A 26,242-nucleotide genomic window follows, 5' to 3' on the forward strand; every position below is an offset into this window, starting at 1 on the left:
TGTTGGACATATATGATGCATATATTCAGTTCTCTATGTCTGTGTCTATGTAGGAATTTTAAAGATAAATCTCACACGCTGTTCTGCACCTTGTGGAATAAGATCTCTTGGAGATAGCTTCTCACCGGCATGCGAGCACATGACCTTGCTTTATGCATGGCCGAGGTGAGTCTGGGGCACCTGGCACTCCCGCACCTGCTTGGCACTGGCCTGTGCTTTCTGGGTTTTCCTACGATGTCTGAGTAGCCACTGCCCCCAGACTCCTGGGCAGCCCTGACACCTGCTCCTGCTGCCTTGGCCTCGGAGGGCAGCGTGCATCCCCACGCATCTCGGCACTTGCACCCAGTACACTGTATTCCTGCAGCCTGACTCCTTTTGCCTGTGCCCCTGGCCAGGGCAGATACGGAAAGGTCAGGGCTGGTGTGAGGCAGCATACGGAGGAGGCCAGCCCACCCTGAGTTCCCCACATCCCTAATGGGGGCCGTCTGCTGAGGGTGGCATCGGTGGAATCCTCTCACCACCTCGCGCAGAGGTGGCTCCGCTCGGGGCTACCTCATATTTATCATGTCTCTATTGCATCCATTACACAGTTATGCTGTGAGTGGATTCCACTGTGTCCCTTGTCTATAGCACTGCTGCCTCCATGGGAGGCTGCCATGACTATCTTTGTGCCCGTGTGCATGGAAGATGGAATTGCTAAGAGTGGGTCAGAGGTTTGTGCACTTTAGACTCAGAGATAATTACTGCACTAACCCTCTCCAAAGCCAATTTGCTGCAATTAGCAGTGTCTGAAGAGTAACTCTATGTGGCCTAGAGCTGGTGGCAGGGTGTCCCCATGTCAGGGCACTCGTAGGCCACATGGCTCTGCGCTGGAAGCACCCCGCGGGGGTGGGGGTGAGGCCACCCTTAGAGTTTCCCCGAGTGGTTTCAGGAGCTGGCACCCGGCTCCTACAACATTGGGGCCTGGATGCTGCAGATGCCCACCCCACACCTCCCACTCATGCCCACTGCCCGTCTCCTGCCTCCCACAGGTGCATCTTGGAGATAAGCCCCCTTAGTGGAGGAGGAAGAATCCTCCTGAAGTTGAGAGTTGAGAGAGGGGAGCTGGAGCTCCAGTGGGAAGTGACAGGTGCCTGACGTGCCTCCCCTGCCCCACCCGGGTCCCATTTCCATATCTGCTATGAGTGAGCCTCAGGGTCAGGGAGATTCTTAAAGAGCAAACTTCAACAGGATGTCAGCACTTTTATCTAAACCTTCATAGGAAGCAATGAGATACAGGCAAGGAAGCTGCCTTTCCATCAGGAGAGCAGCTTGAAATTGAGAGGAATGGTCCCAGCAGATAAAAGGGCATCTTACTCGATGGTTTTGTTTAATAGTGATCTGTGACATAAGAAACACACTATGTTTCTCAGAAAGCTAAACATAGACTTACATGACCCAGCAATTGCACTCCTAGGGATATACACAAAATAACCAAAACTGAGGCCTCAAGCACATATGCAGAATACATGCAAACCTGTGTTCATAGCGGCATTACTGACAAGAGCCAGAAGGGGAAACAGCCCATGGGCCCTTGCGGTATGTGGTATAGACAAAGTATGCTATGCCCCTGCAATAGAATATTACTCAGCCATGAAAAATGAATGACATTCTGATCCATGCCACAACATGGATGGGCCTTGAAGACATTGTGCTACACAGAGGAAGCCAGACCCCGAAGGACCAATGCTGTACGATTCCCCTCATAGGATACTCCAGAATAGGCAAGCCAGAAAACAGAAGGCAGATGAGTGCGTGCCAGAAGCAGGGGTGGGTGTGGGGATGGGGAGTGATTGCTTAATGGGTGCAGGGTTTTCTTTTAGGGTGATGAATATGTTTTGGAATTTGATAGAAGTGGCAGTTACACAACACTGAAAATATTCTAAATGCCATAACTATCTTTTTTATAACAGCAATTTTTTACTTTTTTGCATAAAAATTGCTTTTTAGGAAGCTACATAACAATTACTTACACATCTCCTCATTTTTGGGTCTTCAGGGTTTTCACGTTTTGCTGGTATAATTGGACTGTGATGAATACCCTGGTACTAACCATTTTTCACGTTCTCAGTTATCTCTGTTGGATAAACTCTCAGAGTCATTACAGCAGTGAGATTGCGTACTTTAAGGTTTTTTTCCAGCATAGTATTAAGTTGGCTTCCTCAAATGCACTGTCTTAGCCCCTTCAGTAGGATCTTATCATGTCTGTCTTCCCAAGTGCTTGCCAAGAATATTTTGCCAATGTGATGGGAGAAAATTCACCACCTGTGTACTCACGTGATGTGCTGCCAGGGTCTGGGGCTACCCACTGTTTGGCCTTCTTCCTCTTCCTGTTCCCCTTCCCATTCCCCTTCCCCTCCTCCTTCTTCCTCACCTTCTTCCTCTTCTCCTTCTTCCTTTGCTTCTTCCTCCTCCTCTTCCCCTTCCCCTCGTCCTTCTTCCTCGCCTTCTTCCTCCTCCTCCTCCTCTTCTCCTTGGAATTGTCTGTTCACACTTTTGGTCCCAGTCTCCTAGTGTTTTTAGTATATGAGTAAAGAATATGAGTCTTTGTCTTCAATGCTGAAAACATGTTTGCTAATGGGTGTCACTGGGGCCGACCAGAAGAAAGGGAACAGCACAGAGGCAGAAGAGAAGGATGCCTGGGTGCTCAGGGGCAGAGCACACAGACCCCTGTGTGAGGTCCAGAGAAACGTGGGTGGAGCGGGAGTTGAGACCGAAGCACAGAGCGCCCCCCGCCAGGCTCGGGGCTCCATTGCAAAGTTCCCCTGAGCCAGAGGTAAAGGCCCGTGTCTCTGTGTGTGTGCCTGCGTGTCTAACTGGCCAGCGGCCTATAAACTGTTGTTCTTAATAGAATTTTAATCTCTTTCATCTACGGGAGTGGAAGGCGTTTTTTAGCTTAATAATTTTCAAAAGCACCAATCAGCTTTGAGACTGAATTTCTTGCTTTTGTTTTCTCAGTAGCGGGAGCGTTGGTTACTAAAGACCTAACCCTGACTGCTGGGAATTTTCACCGGGTTAGGGCATTGCTTGGTCTTGTTGTCTAGGTTTCACTACATGTGGGACTGCAGGAGAATCTTAAGCTCTGGGGCCGTCTATAATCTTCTGGGGAGGGAGCGTGGGTGTTAAATAAAGCACATGTACACACACAGTTTCAATCCTCCAGATGTATGATGTCCTGTAAGATGTGATGGTTCCAGAAAAAGAAGAGCTATGTTTGGTTGAAAGCAGAAAGGCCTTGGCAGCACTCACGGACTCAGCCTCCTCCTGTTTGCACTGCGGCCCATGGCGGGGGTGCCTGTCCTGCTGCTGAGCACTACTCCATCTGAACCCAGCTCACTCCCACCCCAGTGCTGCGTGACGGAGCCCACAGTGTGGAGGAGACGGAGGCTGCAGACATTTATGTTTTCTGGACCATCTCCAAGACAATGTTTAGCATTTAGAGATGTTGAGGGTTTTGGACAGGGTCTAATCTTGCAGGTGAGCCCAGCCCGTGTCAGAGGTGGACTCCAGCACTGGCGGCTCTAGGGCCTGGCGGATGTGACTGGCCTCTCTGGACTTTAATCATCTTCTCTGCTAATCCTACTTCTGTGGGTTGAAAATGCACCCTCAACTCATACAGTGAAGTCCTACCCCCAGTGTTTCAAGGTGTGACCTTAACTGGAAATATGTGCCTAGTTGAGACAATGTTGTCTTGGGGTGCAGTGGCCCCTAACCCAATATGACAGGTGTCCTTATAAAAAGAGGGAGTTTGGACACAGAGAAGAGATTGTGAACCTGCACAGTGTCAGGACTGGAGTCATGCGGCTCCACACCCAGGAGCCACTCTCTGCCAGGAGAGAGGCCTGGGCAGACCCTTCCCTAGAGCCCTGGGGATAGCATGGCCCAGCTGGCACCTTGAGTTTGGGCTCCAGGCTCCAAAACGAAGAGAATAACTTTCTGTTGCTTACCTCCCAGTGTGTGGTGCTTTGCCACAGCAGCCAGGATTTTCACACACACTGGTGTGCCCATGTGTAGGGCACCTGGCTCGTGGGTGCGCTTAGCCTGGAGCAGCTCCTTCTCCTGCCCAGGTGGTGCTGGGCTGGGGTGGAAGCATCATCCTTAGCTGTGAAAACACAAAAAGTCATGCACAACAAAAAGAGGCCATCACAGGATTTTCCCCTCTTTGCAAAGTTTCACAGCACACACGTTACTGTTTATTTTCCAACCCCTCTTTCTGATCTTGCATGATGCAAATTCCCAGAACCCAAAAAGACTTCTTGAGAAAAGACTCCACGATTCGTGGCAGAAAAGGTCAGATTGTTTGAAAATGACTAATGATTAGTTTATAGTTCTTATAACAGGTTCCATAACAATGGAATTAATCTTTAGAGGAAAAAATTAAAAGGTAGTTTGCTCCCGAGGGAGCTGCGCTGGGGTTTGCACATTAGTTATGATGAGCACTCGCTGGGACGGAAGCAGAACCCCAGGACGCCTCATTGTTTAATCAGGACGGGTAATATCAAGTTGATTAATCCGCACGCTTCCCTCTGCCATCCTAGAAGGGCTGCCGTCCTGCATAATGCCGAGCTTGGTGCTGCCAGGGCTGGGCCCCTCTGCGGGGCTGGGGAAGGGGCTGGGTCCCTCTGCGGACCTGGGTGAAGGGGCTGGGCCCCTCTGCAGACATGCGGGAAGGGGCTGGGCCATGCTGAGTGTCACCCTCTCTGCCTTGGGCCACCCTTCTGTTGTCACTTTGCTTGATGCAAGTGCTCACCTGAAAGGTAGCAAACCTGTCAGGAGCTAAAAAGTGAAACAGGCCTTTTCCTTCTTCCCACACACGCGTGGGATCACTGGTTTCTGTGTCTGATGCCCCAGCCTAAAGGTGAGCCGGCAGGTGGCGGGGGCGGCCGGGCCTGAGAGTTCATGCAGATCTAGCTGGGGCCCCCACCCCCACGTCTGACACCATAGTTGACCTTTAATTCTGAGTCTGAGTAGTTCCTGGGGGACATGCACACCTTTACAGGCACAGGGCGGCTGCTGCATGCCCAGATGGTGGCCCCGCTTTGTCCTTCGTAGAGGAGGGGGTCCCAGGTGCTCGCAGAGCTGGGTCCTGCACAGCAGGCTAAAGCCTGAACTTGGGGCTTAAGGTGGTTTAAACAAAACAGCGATGCGGCTGCACTTGCTGCTGCCTACAGTGTTCTGGGTCCCAGCAAAACCCTCCTTTTTCCATTAAAAGGAAATTATGTAAAAGTGTCATCTCTATTTTGGTTTATAGAATTTGTTCTAAGAGGGTGAAACTCCTCGTTGATCCACTTTATGTGCATCAGAAAGTCATTCCTGGAATAAGAATGATGGCTGGGAGGGGCCAGTTAGCGAGGGTTGCCACCTGACCATGTGCTCTGGCCTCCAAAGCGTCCCAGGAGCAGCTGCAGAGCCAGTGCCCGAGGTCTCCCCACCCAGAGGCCCCTCACTCCCAGTAAATGCAAGCGTGCATTCTGTATGGAGGCGATGGTTCAGCAGGAGAGGAGAGGCATATGCCTGCGTGTGTGTGCATGTGCATGTGTGCAGGTGTGTGCATGTGCGTGTGTGGATGTGCGTGTATGTGCATGTGTGTGCATTGGGTGTGCATATGTACATGTGCATGTACGTGTGTGCATGTGTTTGTGTGCATGTACGTGTGTGCATGTGTTTGCACGTACGTGTGTGCATGTGTGTATGTACGTGTGTGCATGTGTTTGCATGTGCGTGTGCATGTGCATGCATGTGTACGTGTGTGTGCATGTGTACATGTGTGTGCACATGTCCGTGTGTGCATGTGTGTACGTGTGCATGTGCATGTGTGTGCGTGTGCATGTGCGTGTGTGTGTGTGTGTACATGTGCGTGTGTGTCCATGTGTGTTGTAAATAACTGAGCTGCAGGACAAAACTGACCTGGCAGGGAAAAATAGTTGCGAATAAAAATATTTTTATTATTAATCAAGATGTCCTTGGAGATTATAACAAAGAGAAGAACCACAGAAGAACCATTTCAGGAAACCTCACTACCTTTTCACATTCTGGGATTTGGAATTGTACAGGACATTTCTTGGTCCTCATCTTAATTTGCATAGTCTGACATTTCACTGTCTCCTAATTTTAGCATGTTAGAATAAACATAAAGTGGTAGTTTGGGCAACTTCAAAATTTTATTACAGGGTGACAAAGAAAGTGTGTGTACATCAGCACGCTTTTTCGTTAGCCTTGCCGAGAAATAGAGCTTGCTACTTAAAAACTGCTCATTGGCAACCAAGGATCGTTTACCTGTATTAGTGAAGAAAAGAGACATTTTCTGTCACTCTACCTTGTAAAATAATTAAATAAGGAATCTTGGTGAGCACACTATTATAGCTACTTAATAAAATTTATATTCAGAATTTTACTATTTATAAAATATATTGTCTCACCTGGGTGTTCACAGGGGAGCAAAAAATATATATGTATCTATGCATATATAGTTTTTTAAATGTTGCTTATTTCATTTTATGGAAAACATGGAAAATCTCCTACAACAATAAACATTCATAATATAACAATGTATGAAAACTGCATGTACCACTAAGCCAGTGGCAAGGGCTGCCTCTGAATCTCTGAATATTAGCATATTATAGATGGAAAAAGCTATCCTCTCCCTCATGGGAAAATCTGTTAGCATTTTACCAGCAAATTCTGAAAAGATATACATTTAAAATAAACCTTCATCTTACTTTTGAAAGAAAAGTATAAATATAAAATCTGCTAAGATTCGCCGCCCTTGCGAGGAGCCTCGGCCGCGTGTTGAGATGCTGTGACCTCACCACTCACCTGTGAGTCTTGCTGGAACTTGAGGCCTTAGTTCCACCTCAGGTTAAAATAATTTCTATTTTATATTTTCCACATCTTTTATATTTTCTTTCATAGGATCTTACGTTCATTTCTACATCTCGATTCATTGTCAGTAAGAAGTAAAAGGGCCCGAATGTGAGTTGGCTGCCAGTGCATGCGCTGCCTCTGAGGCCATGCAGAGCCGGCTGGTGTCTCCCTCAGCGGCATTTTGGATCTATTGGTTGATAACCAGATGCTTCCTTATTAGCCAAGAGTGCCACAAGTTTTCCCGAATCTAAATGTTGAAAAATCTTGACAGTACTGCCTCTTCCTTTTCTGGTATTTGACTGACACTCACCATATTACATCCTGTGCGTTCCTCGTTGCAAAAAAATATGAAGATGAGATAATCTTATGACATAGTCCACCGAAAACACACGCGTCTTGGGACCGCAGTGGTGGTTCCACGTTGGCCGAGGTCCACTCCCTGCTGCAATCACTCGTGGCATCTACAGGGAACTCAGAGGCTCCCTCTGAGGGGCTGAGCTTTGCGGGAGAGAACAGGGGCTGGGAAGTCCCTTGGTGTCTAAAAGTCTGAATTGCAGACAATCCCTGTCGTTAACCTGGAACTGAAAATCAGCCTGGGAGCTGGGGACTGGGCCACCTGGGCTGAGGGCAAAGGTCAGCCTGCACCGTGAGCGCAGGACAAAGGCCGAGGGGTGCGGTGGTGGCCTCGGTGGCGGGCGTCTCTGGCCGGTTCTCCGTGGAAGGGCACGCCACCTCGCCGATGAGATTCACCCAGACCCTTGACCGAGCATCCGCTGAGGGGTAAAGCGCCTGCGGACGCTATTTCCCATCAGATTTTGTGCTTCCTGTGAGCGGGTGCCTCAGCTCTCACCGTGCAGGCGCGGAGACCCCCGCAGGGCCCGCGGCTCCCCCAGCCTCACAGGCCACACCCGCGGGCTCCAGCCCAGGCCCGCCCCTGCACACCGAATGCGGTGACCTTGTGGCTATTTGGGCGAATTTGAGGGGACTGACAGCCTCTTTCATGCAAAGGGGCCATTGGCTCAGGGAGATTGTGAACGGGACCCCCGGCTCCAACTATAGAGGGGCGAGGGAGGCGTCTAATACGAGCCAGCGGAAGTCCCCACAGTGAAGACGCTCATCCCCGGAGAACTGGGAAGGGACCCTGGGATTTCCTCCACAGATAAGACGCAGCTGCTTCCCACCCTCATCTGGAAAGGTCTGCGTGTGGCCCTGCCTGGACGCTGCACAGGCTCCCACGTAACCATTCCGGGGCTGGTTGCCGCCCTGTGGTTAACAAGATCACTTCTGTTTGTTTCCACCTGTGGATATTAATGTGAGCATATTTTAAGTGTATACATTTGGTTACATAAAACCAAATTACAGAAAATTACCTCTATTTTCCTAGGCCCAATCAGCGTCTTTCTTTTTTAACTCCCATGCAGGATAGAAATTGAATGGGGATCTGAGACGTGCGGGATGAGTGGGACTGAGCCTCCTCTGGAGCGTCAGCTCCAGGAAAATGCTGGAGGTGGAGCCGATTACCAACGGGGTCACAGTTGCACCCGCAATGTCTTCAGAAGAAATAGTCCCCTTCCTCCCTGAGCATTTCGGAGCTGCTCTGAGGCCTGGCGAGGCTCCAGAAGGCCCAGTGACCTTCGCAAGGTCTGATGTGGGCTCACAGTGTGTGGGGCGGTTTCCAGGCGCTCACAAGGACCGCTGTTTCCTCCGGCCGCCTGCCCCCTGCCCCCTGCCCCCTGCCCCCTGCCCCCTGCCCCCTGCCCCCTGCCCCCTGCCCCCTGCCCCCTGCCCCCTCGGGACTTTCCTCTAGGCTGAAGGGTGCTGGCGCAGGCGCTAAGATGTTTATAATAATTTAAGCTTAACGCTCGGAAAATACTTTCTAAGGAGCAAGGAAATGCTTTTTCTGGTTTGTTTCTCACATCTTAGAATCATACTCATCCAGTTAGGGTTACGGTTAGAGGTAGAGTTAGGGTTAGGGTTAGTTGTTCTTTAAAAACGTTAGTCTTTTTAAGTAAAATGTGAGTCTTTAAAAGATGCTTTCAGTGACACCGTGGGCTTCAGGGGAGAGGGTCAGTCTGAGTCTGTCACCACGGGCTCGAGACACACACCCCCGCCCCCCGCCATGGCTATGGTGGAATTGTGGGTGAACCTGGGCGTCTTCAAATGTTCTTTTAGTGCGAGGCACTTCAGGGTGGCATGGGCAGCGACTTTCCACAGGCCTGGGGGGCGTTTTCTGAAAGCACCTGCTGTGTGGCCCCAGCAATGTCCCCGATGGAGAGAGACACAGGCGAGCACACAGCAGGGACCCCTGGGTGACAGCAGGCAGCTCCAAGGTTCCTTGTCAGCTCCGGAGGCCGCGGCCCTCTAGCCATCACCATCAGACCTTGCTGTATGAGGAGCGCCTGGCTCAGCTGCTTTCTTAAACTCACTTTCAACCAAGCAATGAATAACTGAGGACCCATCGGGAGCCAGCGGGGTGCCGGCCTCTGGCTTGAGGCAGATTGTATCTGTTCACATCTGCCCTTGTCTATCTGGTGCGACACCCAGCAGGGAAGGGAGGAGGGGAGGGACACGGTCTGGACGCTCCCTGCTCGCTGGCAGGTCATGGTGTGGCAAGGCTGTAGGAAGAGCGGCCTGCTTCCCACAGCTGCACCGCCCAGGCCTTCCTCTCCTTCGCGTCTGCCCATAAGAACTTATCACCATTGCAGCCCCATCAGAAAGACTGTGTTTGAGGTGAAGGAAGGTTTAATACCTTTAAAAAATCCATTTTACAAGATGAGATGGATCCAGATGTGGACCACGGCTCACCACAGGATGACTCCCGCCAGCATTCCCTGCAGACTCTCAAAGGGCATCCATGCAGTGGCGCGTGTGACACTCCACGCAGCAAGGCTCTGCCGCAGGGGTCAGTGCGGAGGGGGCGGCCGCAAAGCTGGGGACAGGCCCGGGGGCCCACAGGGTCCCCACATTCCATGTAGCAAGGCTCTGCCCCTGGGGTCTGTGTGGAGGGGGTGGCGGCGAAGCTGGGGACAGGCCCGGGGGCCCGCAGATGCTCTGCACAGTACCAGCTCCCTACAGCTCGGACTGGATTCAGCGGGGGTCCCGCCTATGCTGGCAAGGCCAGATCAAGGGGTACAATTATATAAAAGGGGTAAGATGTTGGTTTGAGGGATGAACTGGAAATACTACGTCTGCCCGTCCCCTGTCCCCTCCTCCCTTTTCCCCTCCCTTCCTCCTTCCTTTCCATCTTTCCTTCCTCCCTCCCTCTCTCTTCCGTCTTACACATGTGGCTGCACATGTGACGGGGAGCGCGGGAGCCATCCCCACAGGGCAGGGGAGACAGGAAGGTGATAGGCGAGGCCGGACTGTGAAAGGACGGCAGGGCAGGGCGTGAGGCAGCCCAGAGCCCAGGCCAAGAGCTGGCAGGAGGCAGGATTGCCTGTGGGATGGGGCAGCAGAGGCAGGGCAGTGGCGGTCTGCGGTGGGAAGGAGGGCGGCTGGGAGAGGCGAGGCTGGCAGGGACGTCCAGAGGCCTCAGCCCAACTGGTCCTGGAATCCCATGGAAAAGTGCTGTTGCGGGGCGGGGGTAGGGGGGTGGCGGCGTTAGCAGGATGGCATCCGAATCAAATGTGTGTTCCTTTACGTTCAGGGGAAAGTGGGTCTGGAAGAAGGCCCGGGGCCAGGGCAGGTCACAGAGGCTCTTCCAATGGCCAGGCCAGGGGTTCAGGTGGTGTAGACCTGGAGCAGAGAGACACCCAGGAGTGGGGAGGAGGACTTTGGGGTGCAGGTGATGGCAGGCACAGGGAGGTTGGGGAGTCATCACCCATCCTTAGTGCTGTGGATGGAAGCGTCCCCAGAGGCAGAGGAGCAGATGGGGGTTTGGCAGGAGGAGGGGAGTTTGTCTTAAGACGTGGAGACGTCCAGTGGTGGATCTGCAGGTGGAAGCTCCGGAGAGAGGCGGGGGCTGAGAGCACAGAGCTGGGCCAGTGGCACTCAGCTAGTACTGAAGCCACGGCAGCCTCGCTGATGCTGGCCCGAGCCGGCCGCCCCTGCACCTCACAGGCTTCCTGCAACCTTACCAGGCGCAGGCCAGGGTCTGCCAGTATCTTCTGTCTCATGGTGCTGCATTTCTTCTGGCCTCCTCCTTAGATGCCTTCCAGCCAAACATCATCAAAGTCTTGAGAATTGTTCAGGAACATTTGGGTCAAAACCCAGTCACAGGTCCCAGCCCAGCTGCAAGGGGGTTAGGGTGCAGTAGTATCCTGTGTGGGGAAGAGGCATGGATTTGGTGGATGTCCTGCCTGTCCTTGCCACACCCAAGAGTGGGCCCTATTACCCAAGGGCAGTTGGGGGATAGGAGGTGCGGGGCTTTCCTGGGTGAGGTGAGGTCACAGAATGTGGGCGAGGAGAGGGCTTCAAAAAGGGAGGGGCAGGCAGCTCAGAGGTCAGGACAAGGGCAGATACACATCCAGGGGTTTTCATGGAAAAATCAATCTTTTGCAATTTCAAACTGGACAGTACCTACGCAAAGCTACCCTTTCACATACTGCATTTGTTTACTCTCCCAGCCTGGTGTGGACTAAACAGAGTCGGTTAGAAAAGTGTTCTGATGCAGTCACAGCTTTCAAGGCCTCAGCTTGCATAATTACAAGGGGCAGGAGCTGAAATTTCATCTGTGCGACATCAGCTCAAAAGGAGCCGAGACTGGAAGAAACCGGGAGCTATGATTTGCACTTTGATAACTTAAGTGAAATAAATCGATGATTCCAAATGGAAAAAAATGACCAGGTCTATTTCTATAGACTTTAAAGATTATCCAGGTTAGAAATTTCCGCAAATGGGACAAAGATAAAATCAGTTGTTCACTAGTACCTATTTTAACACCTATAAGACAGTGTAAAAATTGGCTTTATCATGTTAATATCTTGCTATAAATTTTGACATTAGTATTGTTCATTTTGAGCACAGACCTGGGCTTGCTGGCTAAAACACAGAGCTCTAGAACAGTTTCCATGAGGATGGGTAAATTAGGGAGTGCCTGTCCATGCTAGCCCAAGGGCCAGGTTCACCTGCGCGCTCGGCACATTGCAGGATAGCTGTCAGTTTATTTGTCCTTCTCCCTGTCTGCAAGCCAAGTGCTTCATGCAGGTGTGATACACAGGAGGTGTGCAATAAATGTTGAATAATTGAGCAACTATATTTGCATTATTTTATTTGATTTTCCCAATCATCCTGCAAAAGTGAGAAAGGACAAACGGGATCTTCATTTTACTTTTCTATTTTTTTAAATATTGAACAGGGAGGCTGCGTGGGCCCCAGGTTTACACCTGAGGATACTGAGGATGAAAAGCAATTTGCCCAAGTGGGTGGGCATCACAGCTGCCCCTTGACCTTGGGATTCTCTGAATCTGAGGTGCGTCCTTCCCACCCCACTCAGACGCACCCACCCAGTGGCTTCCACCATAATTAAGATTTTCGGATTATTCCAACATATTGCATATTTAAGGCTTATTCCAACATATTGCAATCATATAACTATTAAAAGCCATAAGCATAATTTGCAACATACGTACCCACATCTCACTTGTATTTTGACCATATGTATGACATGAATAGTGTGTGGATTTTATAGAAGCAGAGGTTTAATGATGCTCATCTGAGTCTCCCACATGGAAGGGCATACTGATAAGTGGGTGGATTCAAAATAATCCAGGTTACTTTATTAGATTTCCCACTGGGGGATTTTAAAACCTTGCTTATACCGGGGTCTCGGTGCGACCGGTACCCTGCCTGCCTCAGAGTCCTGGATGCAGCCTCACTCTCCCCTCTGCTGCCCCAGATCCGGCCTCCGGAGGAAAACACCCTGGTCCTAAATATTCATGAGTCTCCACACAAAGTGCCTGTGGCAAGATGTGCTCTTCTCCCTGGGAGCTGATAATCCGGGACCATCATTACCACTGAGGAGACTGTGTGAGTCAGGTTGCCTGAGAGGGCCCTGCTTTTTCACCTGTTGTTGTGATGTAATTGATACGTGTGCCATTGTTCATTTCCAAACATGAGAGGGAGCTTTTATGTGATCACCCTACTTAGAGCTGGCATCTACTGAGTCCTGAAGAGAAGGGACCATTGTGAGTGATGGGCACGTGTTACCTATGGTAATCTTCCCCACACCATGAAGAGGGAACGATAGCTTTGCAGTTAACAGCATAGATTCTGGGTCGACCTGCTTGGGGGTGTGGTCCTCACTAGCTGTGGACCTTGAATAAGCTCCTAAACATCTTTATGCTCCATGTCCTTCATCTGCATATGAAGATGCTAATAATAATAATGGCCTCATGTCTTCATTTGCAAGAAGAAAAAAAAAAAAAGCGCTGCAGCCCCTGAGGCTGGACCAGACAGGACAGCATACGGAGGGTGTCCTATGGGCTCTAAAGTGCTGCGTAAACACACGCGGTCACCATAACCACCTGACTTTCATCTGTTATTTTGCTTTTTATCTTATTTAATATTTTAAGCTCGTTTCATGTTGAAAATAATGTATGAGGGCTAGAGATATGAGGAATTATTACATGCAATCCCTATTTTTAAGGTACTTATTATTCATATTTATTTGAGGAGATAGAAAATAAATATGAGAACATTAACAAAAAGAAGGCCCATCATATACCCTGGGGTAGGGTGCTGCTGATGGAAAGAGTGACACAGACTTGGGGGCCAGGAGCTCAGTGGGGACAGTCAGGAGCTGTCCCACAGGGCAGCCAAGAACAGCCTTGGTTGCACATCAGTTCTAGAAAGCAGAGTTTTCTTGCCCACTTCAGACAAGTCTGTGGTTTTATTTTGTATGTGAAAAGAAACCTGTGTTGGATGTACGACTGACTTGGAATTGGAAAATGACTTTGGGCAGTGATGACACAAAATTAAATATAGCTTTTGTAAAGAGAAAAAAGATAGCATTTATTCCTATAAATCTTACTATACATGAGTCCCCAGGCATTAACTATACACTATATACTAGACATGATTTTTTACATGGGTTGGCTTACTCTGCCTGATATAAATTTATGACTCAGAGGCTGCTTTTGTCTTCGGTTCCCAGATGAAAAACCTGAGTTTCAGAGAGGTTAAGTAACTTCTCCAAGGCAGCATATCCACCACCTGGCAGGGCTGAGATTTGGACTGAGACCAACTGGATCCAGAGTCCTTGTAGTTACGGACACACTCTGCCGCCCTTTGTGAGGACTGAGTAGAATGCAGGCCATGTGGCTCCTGAGCCCTCGAACATTCTCTATACCCCTGGGAACCTAAACTAACTGCTTTTTCATTGAAATGTCCTGTTTCTTCCCTTATTCTATGAACCTGGGGAGTCACTGTCTAAAGGGCACCCGCGTTGGTTCCATAGGGTTACTGTAACAAAGTGCCACAAACAGGGTGGCTCCAAACCACGGAGATGAACCCTCTCACAGTCCTGGAAGCCGGAAGTCTGGAATTAGGGCATCCAAAGGGCCCTGCTCCCTCGGAAGCCCCTGGGGAGAGATGCTTTCCCATCTCTTCCACTATCTGGTGGCCCCATAGCCCCAGTGCCCCCATGGCTTGTAGATGCTTCAGTCCGATCTCTGTCTCCATCCTCATGCCTTCTTCCTGCGTGTCTCCTCTCTGTGTCCAACCCGCTCTCCTTATGAGGATACCAGCCCTGTTGGATTAGGGTCTACCCGACTCCTGGATGACCTCCTCTTGTCTAATTACATCTGCAATGACCTTACTTCCAAAAAAGTCACATTGTGAAGTTCTAGGGGAGAGAGCCTCAGCATATCTTTTGTAGGGACACAGTTCAACCTGTAACAGCACCCACGAAGAAAAAGCATGGCCCCAGAGAGGGTGGGCTGAGACGTCTGTAAAAATTCTTCAGTATAGGCTCTGACTAAGAGCAGAGGTGCTGGCCCTGCAATGGCTGTGAACTATGCTGTTCTTGCATTGCTTTAAATAAATACTGGAGACTGGGTTGTTTACAAAGAAAAGACGTTTAATTGGCTCATGGTTCTGCAGGCTGTATAAGCATGGTGCTGGCATCTGCTCAGCTTCTGAGAAGGCCTCGGGAAGCTTCCAGTCATGGTGGAAGGTGGAGGGAGAGCAGGCACATCACAGTGAGAGCAGGAACGAGAGAGAAAGAGAGCAAGAGAGAGAGGGAGGGAGGTGCCACACACTTTAAATGACCAGATCTCATGTAAACTCAGAGCAAGAGCTCACTCATCACCAAGAGGATGGCCCCAGGATCCGTCCCCCATGACCCCATCACCTCCCACCAGGCCCAACTCCAACATTGAGGATTACGTTCCAACATGAGATTTGGGTGGCCAAACTCTAGCAGGCCACTCAATAGATCAGAACGGACAGTGACTCACTAGCCTGGACACTCAGCCAGCAGGCGGGGGGTGCCCATTCGTGACTGTCTGCCCAACCCAACAGAGATCCCATCAGTCTGGCCGGGTGGCACCTTCAACCCCTGGCCAGGCTGAACACGGCTGAAGGGCAACCCAGGTCTGAGAGGAAGAAGGAAACAGTGGCTCTGTGGGCGCAGGTTTTGCCTTAAGAAGTTCAGCATAGCCCAACCAGCAGTTGGGCACTGCTTTGCGGTAAGTGGACAGACAGAGAGGCCTGGTGGGCTTTGGCATGGCTGACCCCTCATTGCCTAGTGTGTGGCTGTGTCACTGCCTGCTGCCTAGAGAGTGTGAGAACGAAAATAAGAGAGGGTCATCGAGCATCGTGACTGGAATAGGAGGCGTCGGACCCTCTGGGCAGCCCCCTGACGAGAAGCCCCTGCCTTTCTTGGGGTGGGTGGAGCACAGGACGCTGGATTTTAGTCTGAGGAGCTCACATCTCCCCAGCTGCATCGGAACCTGTAAATGTCGGGGTGGGGGAGATTAGCCGACCTTCTTCAAGGAATGAAGAAAACAGCCGCTCTCTGTAGAGCCTGATGTGCCAGGTAGGGCCACAGCAGGCTTTCCAGATCTTCTCTGGGAAAGAACAAAGCATAAATAAGTATAAATACAAATTCCTTTCATTCTCTTGGGCTGTGGTTCTAACTCTGGACTGTAGCATTTGGGTCAGGGAATGCAGGGTCTTGGTAGTTATTCACATGTTGCACAGGATGTCTCCAACGTGGCTGGGAGGTGAAGTTGCTGAATCGTTCAAGTGCCATCTCTTATTTCATCTGGACCCCGTTGTATTTTGGGAGGAAGGCCAAGCCCTGAGCACCGAATTAAACCTCCTGTGACTTGGCCTCCCTCCGCCTTCTCGGCTGTGCTTGAGGTGGGCTGAGGATTACTCTGTCTTTACTAAAGAAGTTTTCTTTTCCCTTGATGACTTGAACTTAAAAACACAAATCAAAGAGTTGTGTGATTTCCATAGGGACGCATTAGGCAGGAGGAAATTATTCCCATCAGAATCCAGTGAATTTCATGTATATCTAGAATTGCTCTTATAATAAAAAATAAATGTTCTATAAGTGACGGTACCTGGGGAAATCACTCGTCCTACATCAGTTGATTTTGTGCTCAGAAGTCAGGTTTCCCAGCCCCCTGTACCTTTCATCTTCCTGCTTCACCATCACTAATTATGTGACTTTATTTCACAGCATCTTATATTTTGTGTGTGTGTGTGTGTGTGTGTGTGTGTGTGTGTGTGTGTTTTTCAAACAACACTTATTTGTGCCTTCAATGGGACTGACTTAGGTTCCTGTCGAGCTCAGGCTGTGGCTCGGTGGGAAGCTAAGTCTGCACCGGCTCACCGCAGAACTTGTGCTTCCTCAAAAGCCCCGGCACACATACACAACAGAAAGAGGCTGTGGCCACAGCAGTTTTGGGAGTGCAAGGGCCGGTTACCCCTCATTTTGGCCGCAGTGGTTTGCTACCATCAGCTTGAGAGAATTTCTTTCTCTTGCAAGGTGAGTGACGGTTTAGAGCCAATATTGGAAAAAATACCCCTGCATGAAGAAAGTAAGAGACAGAGCCTGCATCATCCTTGGTAGGAAGACGATGAAGGTTCAGAAGAGGGTTGCTAAGGGGCTGCTGGTTCACAAAGATGGGGACGCAGCCGGCCCAGGAGGGGGTGACATGCTCAGGAAGGGCTGACATCAGCATGCAAGGGGTTGCCCTGTTGTCAACTTGCTGCTGGAATTTAGAGGAAAATAAAGCCGTGGTGTATCTCTTGCTGGTAGTTAACACTGTAAATTAAAATGAGAACCCCAACCCACAATGTGAAACTCTGGAAGTCAGAATGTCTCAGTTGCCTACATACTGGGCCACTGAAATAAAAACCATCTCCCTCTCTCCCTCTCTCAACACATGCACACACACACTCAAAGAAAACAAAAGACTTCGTTAGCAGGTCTTTGCAAAGTTCACAGAATGCCAGCGGGGAGATCCTTTCCACACACACCGAGTCTTTGTTTCCTTAGGTGCATTCTGTACAGGGGGGCGGGGGTACGGGCAGAAAGTACCAGGGAGAAGGGCTCTGGAGCGGCGGATGGAGTTGTCCTAGGCTCTCGGAAGCGAGACACGTTGTCGATTTAAAAACAAATATTGGGTTTCCATTTTTTTCTGAACGGGATAAGGCAATTTCTTTTAGATTGTTTAAACTCTCCCCGCTAGATTGAAGGGGGCGGTGGGTATTATTTCTAGATTTAGACGCCGTACGGGTGATAATGCAGCGACTCCCGTCTGTGGCTGGGAGCTGTGGCTGCACGAGACCCGGAATTCGAAAGGCTCTGCCTCCCCATGGACGGAGACTTCCGTTGTTTTCTTTCCTTTCTCTCCGCAGCGGAGAGGGCTGGAGCGGATTTGGGTTCACATGAAAGTGTGCAGTGTTAACTAGGTGGCATATGGGTGGGGGGACATTCCTGCCTGTCCACTGCAGCCGGGGGGCGCGTCTCCATGGAGATAAGAAGCGAAAGTGCTCCGTGGAGCCTAATTGGTATGCATCCCTGGTTCACGTTCATTGTGCTCCTGCTAATGACAGGGTTGTCTCAGTAATAAGGATGGTGCACTGGAGAAATTTGCTGCCTTGGTATATTTTTCCCTGGCAGAAAACTACTTAGAGACTGTAGTCAGTAAGAAGAGTGACTGGCAGGCTCAAGGGCTGCCCGCAGCATATGGGGGAAGGCTGCTGCTCCGTGCCACATGCATATGCTGCCATTAGACTCCAGCTTTGCGCTTTGTGTGTTCCTGGGCCCGTGCCAGGAAGCCCACCTGCTGCAAGAATACTTGTAAAGCCCAACTCAAAAGTGATTGAAAAGCTGCTGGAATAAACTGTAATAACACAGTAACACAGAGCTTCACAGATGGGACATAATTGCACGCCGAAGTGCACAGCCTCTGCAGTAATGAAAACACGAGCCATTAAATTAAAATCACAAGGGAAAAAACGATAAAAGTCTGTTGATTTTTTTTTTTTTAGTTTTATTGCAAAAACTTCAATTTTCCTGCCCTCATTAATCAAATACCATAAAACTATAGCGTTACTTTGTTCTGGTGGAGATTCAGGCAATTAAAATGATGAATGTTGATTAAAATGATGTAACTTTGGTTATTTACTTGCTAGGATAACTTAAACCCTCTGTAACCAGAGCCGCAAGCTACTGACACTCATCTGCGTGTCTGCAGATCGCAAAAGCCTTTGGGCACCTGCTCTGGAAGTTCGTGGAGGAGTCTGTCCAAGTTCGCCCAAGGCCGAGGGGGCTATCAAAGAAGAGCTCTGGGTTTTGTGCTCAATATTGATACATGTGAAGGGTAAATCCTTTCTCCCCGATCAGCCTGCCCTTTTTCTGAAATATTAGTAATTTTCTTTTTCTTTTTCCTTTTTTTTTTTTTTTTTGGACAATTAAGGGAGACTTGTCCAACTATGTAAACACAGAAAGCACTCAAGCAACAATGCCCTCGTAATTAGCAGCGGGCAGGCCGGCGTCTGGGCTGGCCCGTCAGGCGCGGCGTCAGCTGAAAGGGCCCAGCAGGGCTCTGCGACGTTGGGCTCTCGAGGCCTGGCCGGCAAAGCCCAGTGCGGCATTGTTCGGCTCCTTTCTGTGGGTGGGCCCTACGAGGAGAAAGAAACATTTGTGTCACCCAAGTAAACAGCCTTGAAAAGACTTTCTTTTTTCATTTTTAATTATTCATTTCTTCAGCATTCCTCATGGCAAAGTGGAATGATTCCCACCCATTCAAAAAAAAAAAAAAAAAAAAAAAAAGAAAAGAAGAAAAAGAAAAGAGAAAATCAGCAGCAATAGGACCAATATATTTTCAATTTACAAACCGAGACAGGTGTGGGGCTTCATGTCCCCTCCAGCGGGACTGCAGGGAAAAGGAACCCGCGTTTGTCGTTGCAACTTGTTTCCTTTCTTCCCCTTCCCTGAAAAGGACACAGGGGCGATTTCTCTCCTGTGAGTCTCCTTTGCTCCAAGAAGGCCTTGCCAGTCACTAGAGGTGCTAATGAGTCATTCACAAAAACAACACCCTCCCTTTCTCAGCGGCCTCAGCTGAACACTGTCTCTGAAGGAGGGACATTTGCCGCTGGGTGAAAACTCAGAACGATTCAGTGGCAGGTTCAAAACAATAATCATAAGCAGAAGCAGCATCCCTGCCCCGTCCACGGCGGGCAGCACAGGGGAGAACAGCAGGGCGGGAAGCTGCCGTCCAGCCTTTGACTCGGTGCAGATTGGTTATTTTCCCAGGGCATGAGCCTGTCTGTTGGATAGAGTCCTTTCTTTCGGGGGACGGTGGCAGGGCTCACCGGGCAGCCACACTCAGGTGCAGACAAGTAAACAGAGGGCCAGGCGCTCACGGTGCTGCCAGACTACACCACAGGCAGCAGCTTCCTGTGCCTCAGTTTACCAGGGGATGCACTGCCCTCCTGAAGTGCCATGTCACGACCCCTTGTCTGCACACACCGCAACACTCACATTGTATTCCCGTGTAGTCAGCCGGGTGTTATCACTCTGCCACACCCCAACAGTGCCACGTCCTGTACTGTGGGGCCCTAGACATCTTCCCAGAGGTGGGATTTATGTGTTACGCTGGGAATGAGGCACACACGTAAGGCCGGCAAAGGGCTTGCCAAACTGCTCGTGGGATCCTCCTACTCGGACCCGTTCTCTTTGGTGACTCGGCAGCCTGTTCCATGTGGCAGGCAGGATCCTGGCTGGGCTCCATGCTCCCTGAGGCGGGTGGGCTGGCCAGCCCCTGCCCAGTGGCCCCGGAGGGCATTTGGGCCACAGGAGGGGCAGAGTGTTGAAGTCAGGACAACACTGGGTTGGGGGGGGGTTCGGTTCTAACTTGAACTTCATCGGGGTGGCGTGTTCGCGTCACGTGGCCGTGTTTGTGTGAGCAGGGCTGCCCTGCACCTCCTCAACATGCTGAGAAGTGGCCGGGGCTGGGATGCGGGCCGCGGCTTCACCGTGCAACTGCGGCCCATTGCTACGTGCCTCGTGTGCTCTGCCATGGAGCCCAAATGTGGCAAAGTACGGCCCTTTGAACCCTCAAAGCAACATGCAGCAATTTTAAGTGCGAAGGGAGAAGGTTTTTCATATTGATGGGGTTTTTCCTCCTTCAGCCAAACAACTGATTCACAAAAAAGGCATGGGAAGTCTCTGCTTCTGATGGGATGTCCGTGCAGAGCACGTGGGCTCCCCACGGGAATGTGGAAGTGACAGCCAGCAGGCCCCTTCTGAAGCAACACAGGTGGGAGCTCGGTTGCTGTGTGGAAGAAAGCAGCCGGCTACCCAGGGCAGAGGAGGGTTTCTGGAGCCCCTGGGACCGTGGGAGCCCAGGTTCATGTTTCCTCACCCTCATCCCTGACGCTGCCCTGCAGCCTGGCCTGCTGTCCTGTCCATGGGTGCCTTTTTGGAAATTTTACCAAACAAGCCAGGTTGAAAGGCACACAAGCAAATGCTCACAGGTACCTGAGAGAGCCTGCCGGGATCAGGGCGCTCAGGAGGCCTGAACACTCCCACACTGCACAGCGTTACTCTGCACAGGGTTAGAACGCTTCCTCGAGAATCTTGTCATGAGTGCATTTCTCTTGCTTAAAAAAGAGTGGCGAGGCTGGGCACACACCGACAGTGCGCAGGCAGCCATGCCGAACCATGTAGGGACATCGGGTACACTCAGGTCCCTTGCGCCCTAACAGGAACCAAGGGCCGTCCCCTGTAGAAACGTTTCTTGCCTGGTGACCAACGTCTGGTTCTAGATGTTTGCTTTCTCTGCTCTGTGTTCCTTCTCATTCCCAAGCCCAAACTTGGAGGGGATGCTGAGGATGCTGACCGAGCGCAAATGTGGCTGAATTAAGGCAGTTTGTGGGACAACAGAAGTTTGTAGTTTATGATAATTAAACAGTGTTCTCTCTTCACATCATAAGACTCTATCTTTGGCGATAGAATTGATTGACTTTCAAATTTGGTTGTTTTTCTCCTCTCTGCCTTAATAAGATGTTCTAAAGGAAAAATGGCTGTTTGTTTTGTGGTAGGATCCTTAAGAGAAGGATTCGAGGCCCTGCAATCCCAAAAGATGCTGTTTCAAGAAAGGAGTAAACGGTCCTTTCACAGGTCTCCTGGGTCTCCGTGAAGGATTACAAAGAGTTATAGATCTGGGTTTTGCTATGATATTTTACTAGTTTTGGTCAACTGGCCATCTTTTGGCAACACGGGAATTGACAGGAGAGTTGCTTCAACTTCTTAAAAGGCTTGGACTGATGGGTGTTGTCCATTTCTCAGGTCTGGTAACGTGTCAAACTTGAGACCTTAGGTGTCCAGAAAAAATATGGCCATAGAGGTGTTCAGTCATCTGGTCATTCCTTGTCTCTGGGGGTCTAGAAGATAATTTGTAGGCCGGGAACAGTGGCTTACACCTGTAATCCCAGCACTTTGTTAGGCCAAGGCAGGTGGATCACCTGAGGTCAGGAGTTCTAGACCAGCCTGACCAATATGGCGAAACCCTATCTCTATAAAAATACAAAACTTAGTTAGGCATGATGGTGGGCACCTGTAATCCCAGCTGCTTGGGAGGCTGAGGCAGGAGAATCACTTGAACCTGGGAGGCAGAGGTTGCAGTAAGCCAAGATTGCACCATTGCACTCCAGCCTGGGTGACAGAGCGCGACTCCGTCTCACCAACAAAAAAAGAAAGTAATTTGTAGAACAAAATCATCTCCTTCTCGGATCTGTTGGGGCCAAACACCTTCAGCTGGGCTGTGCTTCAGACCTTGTTCTTTCCACAGGACCAGGTTCTGCTCAGCCACAAAAGTCAGTGGCATTCTCTGCTCCAGGGCCTCTCAGCTGCCGCTTAATGACTTTACCTCAGGCTTTGCGGCTTTTTCCTCTTCTGGCTTCCCCCTTAACAGTTTTCCGCATCCTAGTCTGGGCAGAATCCTCCTAATACCACACTTATTAATGGATTCTAGAAATTTCTGACACTTGGATGAGAAAGCTTTCCACGCGGCTTGTTGGCCGTGGGTTTCCGGTGAGTGTGTGGCTCTCCCCAGCGGGCCGGGTGACAGTCTGTGTCCATCCACTGGAAGGTTCTGCTTGGAATCAACTGAGTCACAAACAAAATCCAGAAACGCGTTCTGGGGTCGTGCTTTTATCCGTTGGAGGTCAACACGTGTGGAAAATCAGCCTGGGAAGCCACAGGCCCCCCAGGACCGATCCACAGTGAGGCTGTGGCCCCTGGTCACCGTCGTCCTGTTCTCTGGTGACAGTGAGGCTGTGTCCCCTGGTCACCATCGTGCTGTTCTCTGGTGACAGTGAGGCTGTGTCCCCTGGTCACCGTCGTGCTGTTCTCTGGTGATAGGCTGTGTCCCCTGGTCACCGTCGTACTGTTCTCTGGTGACAGCGAGGCTGTGTCCGCTGGTCACCGTCGTGCTGTTCTCTGGTGACAGGCTGTGTCCCCTGGTCACCATCGTGCTGTTCTCTGGTGACAGGCTGTGTCCCCTGGTCACCATCGTGCTGTTCTCTGGTGACAGTGAGGCTGTGTCCCCTGGTCACCGTCGTGCTGTTCTCTGGTGACAGTGAGGCTGTGGCCCCTGGTCACCGTCGTGCTGTTCTCTGGTGACAGTGAGGCTGTGGCCCCTGGTCACCGTCGTGCTGTTCTCTGGTGACAGTGAGGCTGTGTCCCCTGGTCACTGTCGTGCTGTTCTCTGGTGACTGAAGCTTGATAACAACTCCTTCTGCCTGGGGGATAACTTCAATCTTGCTCTCAGCTCTGGGTAGGGACCTTCTTAAGAGATAATGTTTGGCTGCTGTAGATCTCACTAAATCATTAAAAATGTTCCCATCCACTGTGGCTCAACAACCAGTCTGCTTGATTGCAGTGGCCCAGGCAGCGTGGCAGCCATGCCTGGTGGGGCCCAGCCAGCATGGCCAGCAGCCATCATCCTGCAGGGAGGCCACCCTCACCTGTGCTTGGAAGGAGCGCCCAGTCGTCGAGAATCAAACCCTTCCATCTTCGGATGTGCTGACAATTCCACTACAAAGTGGCCAGGGAAACAATAGGCTAGGCGGCACCAGTCACCCAACTTTGCTACCAGTTTAGCAGTTTGGTAGAGCAGAGAAGGAGTTTGAAGACTCCGGCAGCATCAAGAATTTTATCTAAAAAGCCAGCACCTGCCCGGGCGTCATCCCTTCACTGACCAACCTGTGACCATGACAGTGATGGCACCGGGCTGGTCTGTGCGTGCACATGTGCTTGTGCATTTGGGCCTGTGTGCGTGCCTGTGTCAGTCAAAGAAAGGACGAAAGCTCTTCTGGGACGTCTTGATCACAGACACAGCAAAGTCACAGTAATATAACTTCTTATAAAGTGAAGAAAGCCCTCCTTCGTCCTGCCACCCCCAGTTACTGTGATCTGTTTTGGGTTCTGAGATGGAGGTTCGCTGCAGTGTGGGTGTGATGGGTAGTCTGGGGAGCTCTGGCGGTGGGAAGGCCCCCCAGGGATGCCTCAGAATGAGGCCACGGAAGGGCCAGCAGGGAGAGAGGTAACCTTCGGAGGATGTATTCATGTCTGGGGGCTGCTGTCACAAAATACTGCAAACCAGGTGGCCTGAAACAGCAGAAATTTATTTATTCCTTCATGGTTCTGGGGGCCTAGAATCTGAGATCAAAGTGTGGGCAGGGATAGGGGCTCTCTGGCGTCCCTGGGGGATCCCCTCCTTGTCCTCCTGACATCTCTGGTGTTCCTTTTCTGGGAGCTGCTCGCTCCAGGCTCTGCCTTTTTCCCCGCAGTCCTCTCACTGCATCTGTGCCCTTACACGGCCTCCTCCTGCCCCACTCCTCTGTGACCTTCTCCTGACTGAGCTGGTCACATCTGCAAAGACCCTGTTTCCAAGGTCCCATCCTGAGGCTGCAGGTGGACATGGAAGTTGGGAGGTCACCGCTCAACCTGGAATGAAGGCAGCCCCCGCACTGGCCCTCCCTGAGCAGGGCCTGAGGGTGTTGGTCCTGGGGGAGGGACCTGGGCGTCGTGCCCGGTGTCCAAGCACCACCTTCACAGCAGGTGCACTTCTCGTCCTCGTGCTGATGGCCATTCATCTGGAGCTGAAGAGCTCTCACACGGGCTCCACGAAGGGCAGAGTCAGAAAGGGTGGAGGCACCCGAGATGCTTGCACATGGCGATGGTGACGTTGGGCTGTTGCTTTGCCCACTGTCGCCCTGTCCATGCATGGCCTGCCCTGCTCACAGTCTCTGCTGGCTGTCTCCTCCGGCTCTGACCCTGTCTCCTGCCCCAAATGCCCTCTCTGTCACCTCGTCCCTCTGCTTCCTCTCAGTGCCGGCCTCTCCCTCCTCCAGACCTCCACCTGCACTCCCACCAGCCTGTCCGGCAGCTGCCACCTTTTTTTCCCTCAGGTTGGAAGAAACATGGCAGGAGAGAGGGTCCCGGCTCAGCAGCGGCAGATCTAGGATGGACTGGCTGGGGGCTGGAGTTGGAGCAGCAGCGAGCGGCACAGGCACAGGCTCTACCTGGGAAGGGAGCGCTTGGAGATTTGTTCCTGGAGTGGACTCACCCGCCGGGACCACAGGTGTGAGCGGAGGCATTAGAGCCCACGCCGTTCCCTTCAGTTCTCACCACTGAGAGACATACATACACATTATACCAAATAACCTAGGAATCCAATTCTTATAAAGCATATGGCGAATCAAAGATTAGGGTGAGGCCCGCGCATGGAGCATCGTTGGTGGGGCGGGCAGATGCTGGATGTGTCCCTAGCTACCTTTCTCATTTTTATCCATCATTCTTTATCTTCCAAATCTCATTGTGAGATAGTCTCTAGCACACAAAACAAATCGAGGCATGGAGAGGAGTCGGTAGGAAGGAGCCAGCTGGAGTGCTGTTTGCCCGGGCTGCCCGGCTCCACGGAGCCACACTTCTTACCGGAGCTGGGGTGTTTCCCTGTCGGCACTTCCCACAGATTAGGAACCAGGGCTGGAACGCACAGGGCAGGTGTTTCAGGAAGTGCCAGAACTGCTCACCTCACCATCTTGATCCTATGGGGTAGGAACCTGCTTAGGCCCACGCTGGTTCTCAACCTGGTTGTATGGTCCAGCCCTGATCTTCAATGTATTGCTTAAGGCATGAAAATCGGTCTTTTTGAGCATGGTAGCAAGTGCCTGTAGTCTCAGCTACTCGGGAGGCTGAGGCAGGAGAATGGCGTGAACCCCGGAGGTAGTGCTTGCAGTGAGCCGAGATCATGCCACTGCACGCCAGCCTAGGTGACAAAGCGAGACTCCGTCAAAAAAAAAAAAAAAAATCGGCCTTTCCACAGTTGGTGTGTGGGAGAGGACAGAATAAGTGCATGGGGTCTCTTGGGGTCTCCCTGGACCTCAGGATCAGGCCTGTTCCTCTTTGTTCAGCCGCCTCAGCTCCCTATAGGGTACTCTGCTTGGGAAAAGACCCCAGAGGGCGCAGCTTACAGTGCAGTGCCTCTCTCCACTGTCAGAGGCAACATAACCACTGCGGAATCTCTTTGCGGTTCTCTTCGGCCAAGCCAGAACTCAAGGCATATAAGGCTGTGGCAGAGATGTACGCATTCCCGAGACAACTGACCCCAAGGTCATCCCTGAATCAGTGACTCCAGAAACATGCAATCCTGAAAGAAATAGCACAGTGTCTTGGGGTCTGAGCGGGATCTGCAGCCAGTTCTGGAATGGAAGAGTCGCAGCTGTGGATGTTGAGTGGCTTTATGGTTGGAAAGTCACGGCAGGACCTGACAGTAGCTATAGTGTTGTGGGGCAGTGACCTCTCACCCACCAACCTGTCAAGAAGGCCGCCCGGTGGCCACCCCTGTCACTGAGCTCAAGGCCAGGGAGA

General features: G+C 51.1%; 2 long non-coding RNA genes across 3 annotated transcripts, besides 3 other annotated features; one reads left to right on the forward strand and one right to left on the reverse strand.

Annotated features, from left to right (window-relative positions):
- Positions 1-2,469: 2,469 nt before the first annotated feature.
- Positions 2,470-8,576, reverse strand: LOC105370366 (uncharacterized). Its single transcript, XR_931734.2, has 3 exons — positions 8,274-8,576; positions 3,987-4,141; positions 2,470-2,549 (listed from the first exon to the last, which is right to left on the reverse strand). It is a non-coding gene; the product is annotated as an uncharacterized LOC105370366 (long non-coding RNA).
- Positions 8,577-8,717: 141 nt separating this feature from the next.
- LOC102724489 (uncharacterized) lies at positions 8,718-11,637 on the forward strand. Of its 2 annotated transcripts, none has more exons than XR_931735.3 (3): positions 8,718-8,806; positions 9,609-9,805; positions 11,469-11,637. It is a non-coding gene; the product is annotated as an uncharacterized LOC102724489 (long non-coding RNA). The 2 variants fall into 2 exon arrangements; XR_429280.4 differs by having other exon boundaries at positions 9,676-9,805.
- Positions 9,535-10,310: an enhancer, noted in NCBI's record as "NANOG-H3K4me1 hESC enhancer chr13:112322811-112323586 (GRCh37/hg19 assembly coordinates)". NCBI's record gives its function as "activates a minimal SCP1, AML or CMV promoter by ChIP-STARR-seq in naive H9 embryonic stem cells {active_cell/tissue: H9 hESC(naive)}" and the evidence as "EXISTENCE:reporter gene assay evidence [ECO:0000049][PMID:30033119]".
- Positions 15,491-15,991: an enhancer, noted in NCBI's record as "H3K4me1 hESC enhancer chr13:112328767-112329267 (GRCh37/hg19 assembly coordinates)". NCBI's record gives its function as "activates a minimal SCP1, AML or CMV promoter by ChIP-STARR-seq in primed H9 embryonic stem cells {active_cell/tissue: H9 hESC(primed)}" and the evidence as "EXISTENCE:reporter gene assay evidence [ECO:0000049][PMID:30033119]".
- Positions 18,525-19,092: an enhancer, noted in NCBI's record as "H3K4me1 hESC enhancer chr13:112331801-112332368 (GRCh37/hg19 assembly coordinates)". NCBI's record gives its function as "activates a minimal SCP1, AML or CMV promoter by ChIP-STARR-seq in naive H9 embryonic stem cells {active_cell/tissue: H9 hESC(naive)}" and the evidence as "EXISTENCE:reporter gene assay evidence [ECO:0000049][PMID:30033119]".

Source organism: Homo sapiens, chromosome 13 (genome assembly GCF_000001405.40).
Source record: "Homo sapiens chromosome 13, GRCh38.p14 Primary Assembly".
In the NCBI taxonomy this organism is placed as follows: Eukaryota; Metazoa; Chordata; class Mammalia; order Primates; family Hominidae; genus Homo; species Homo sapiens.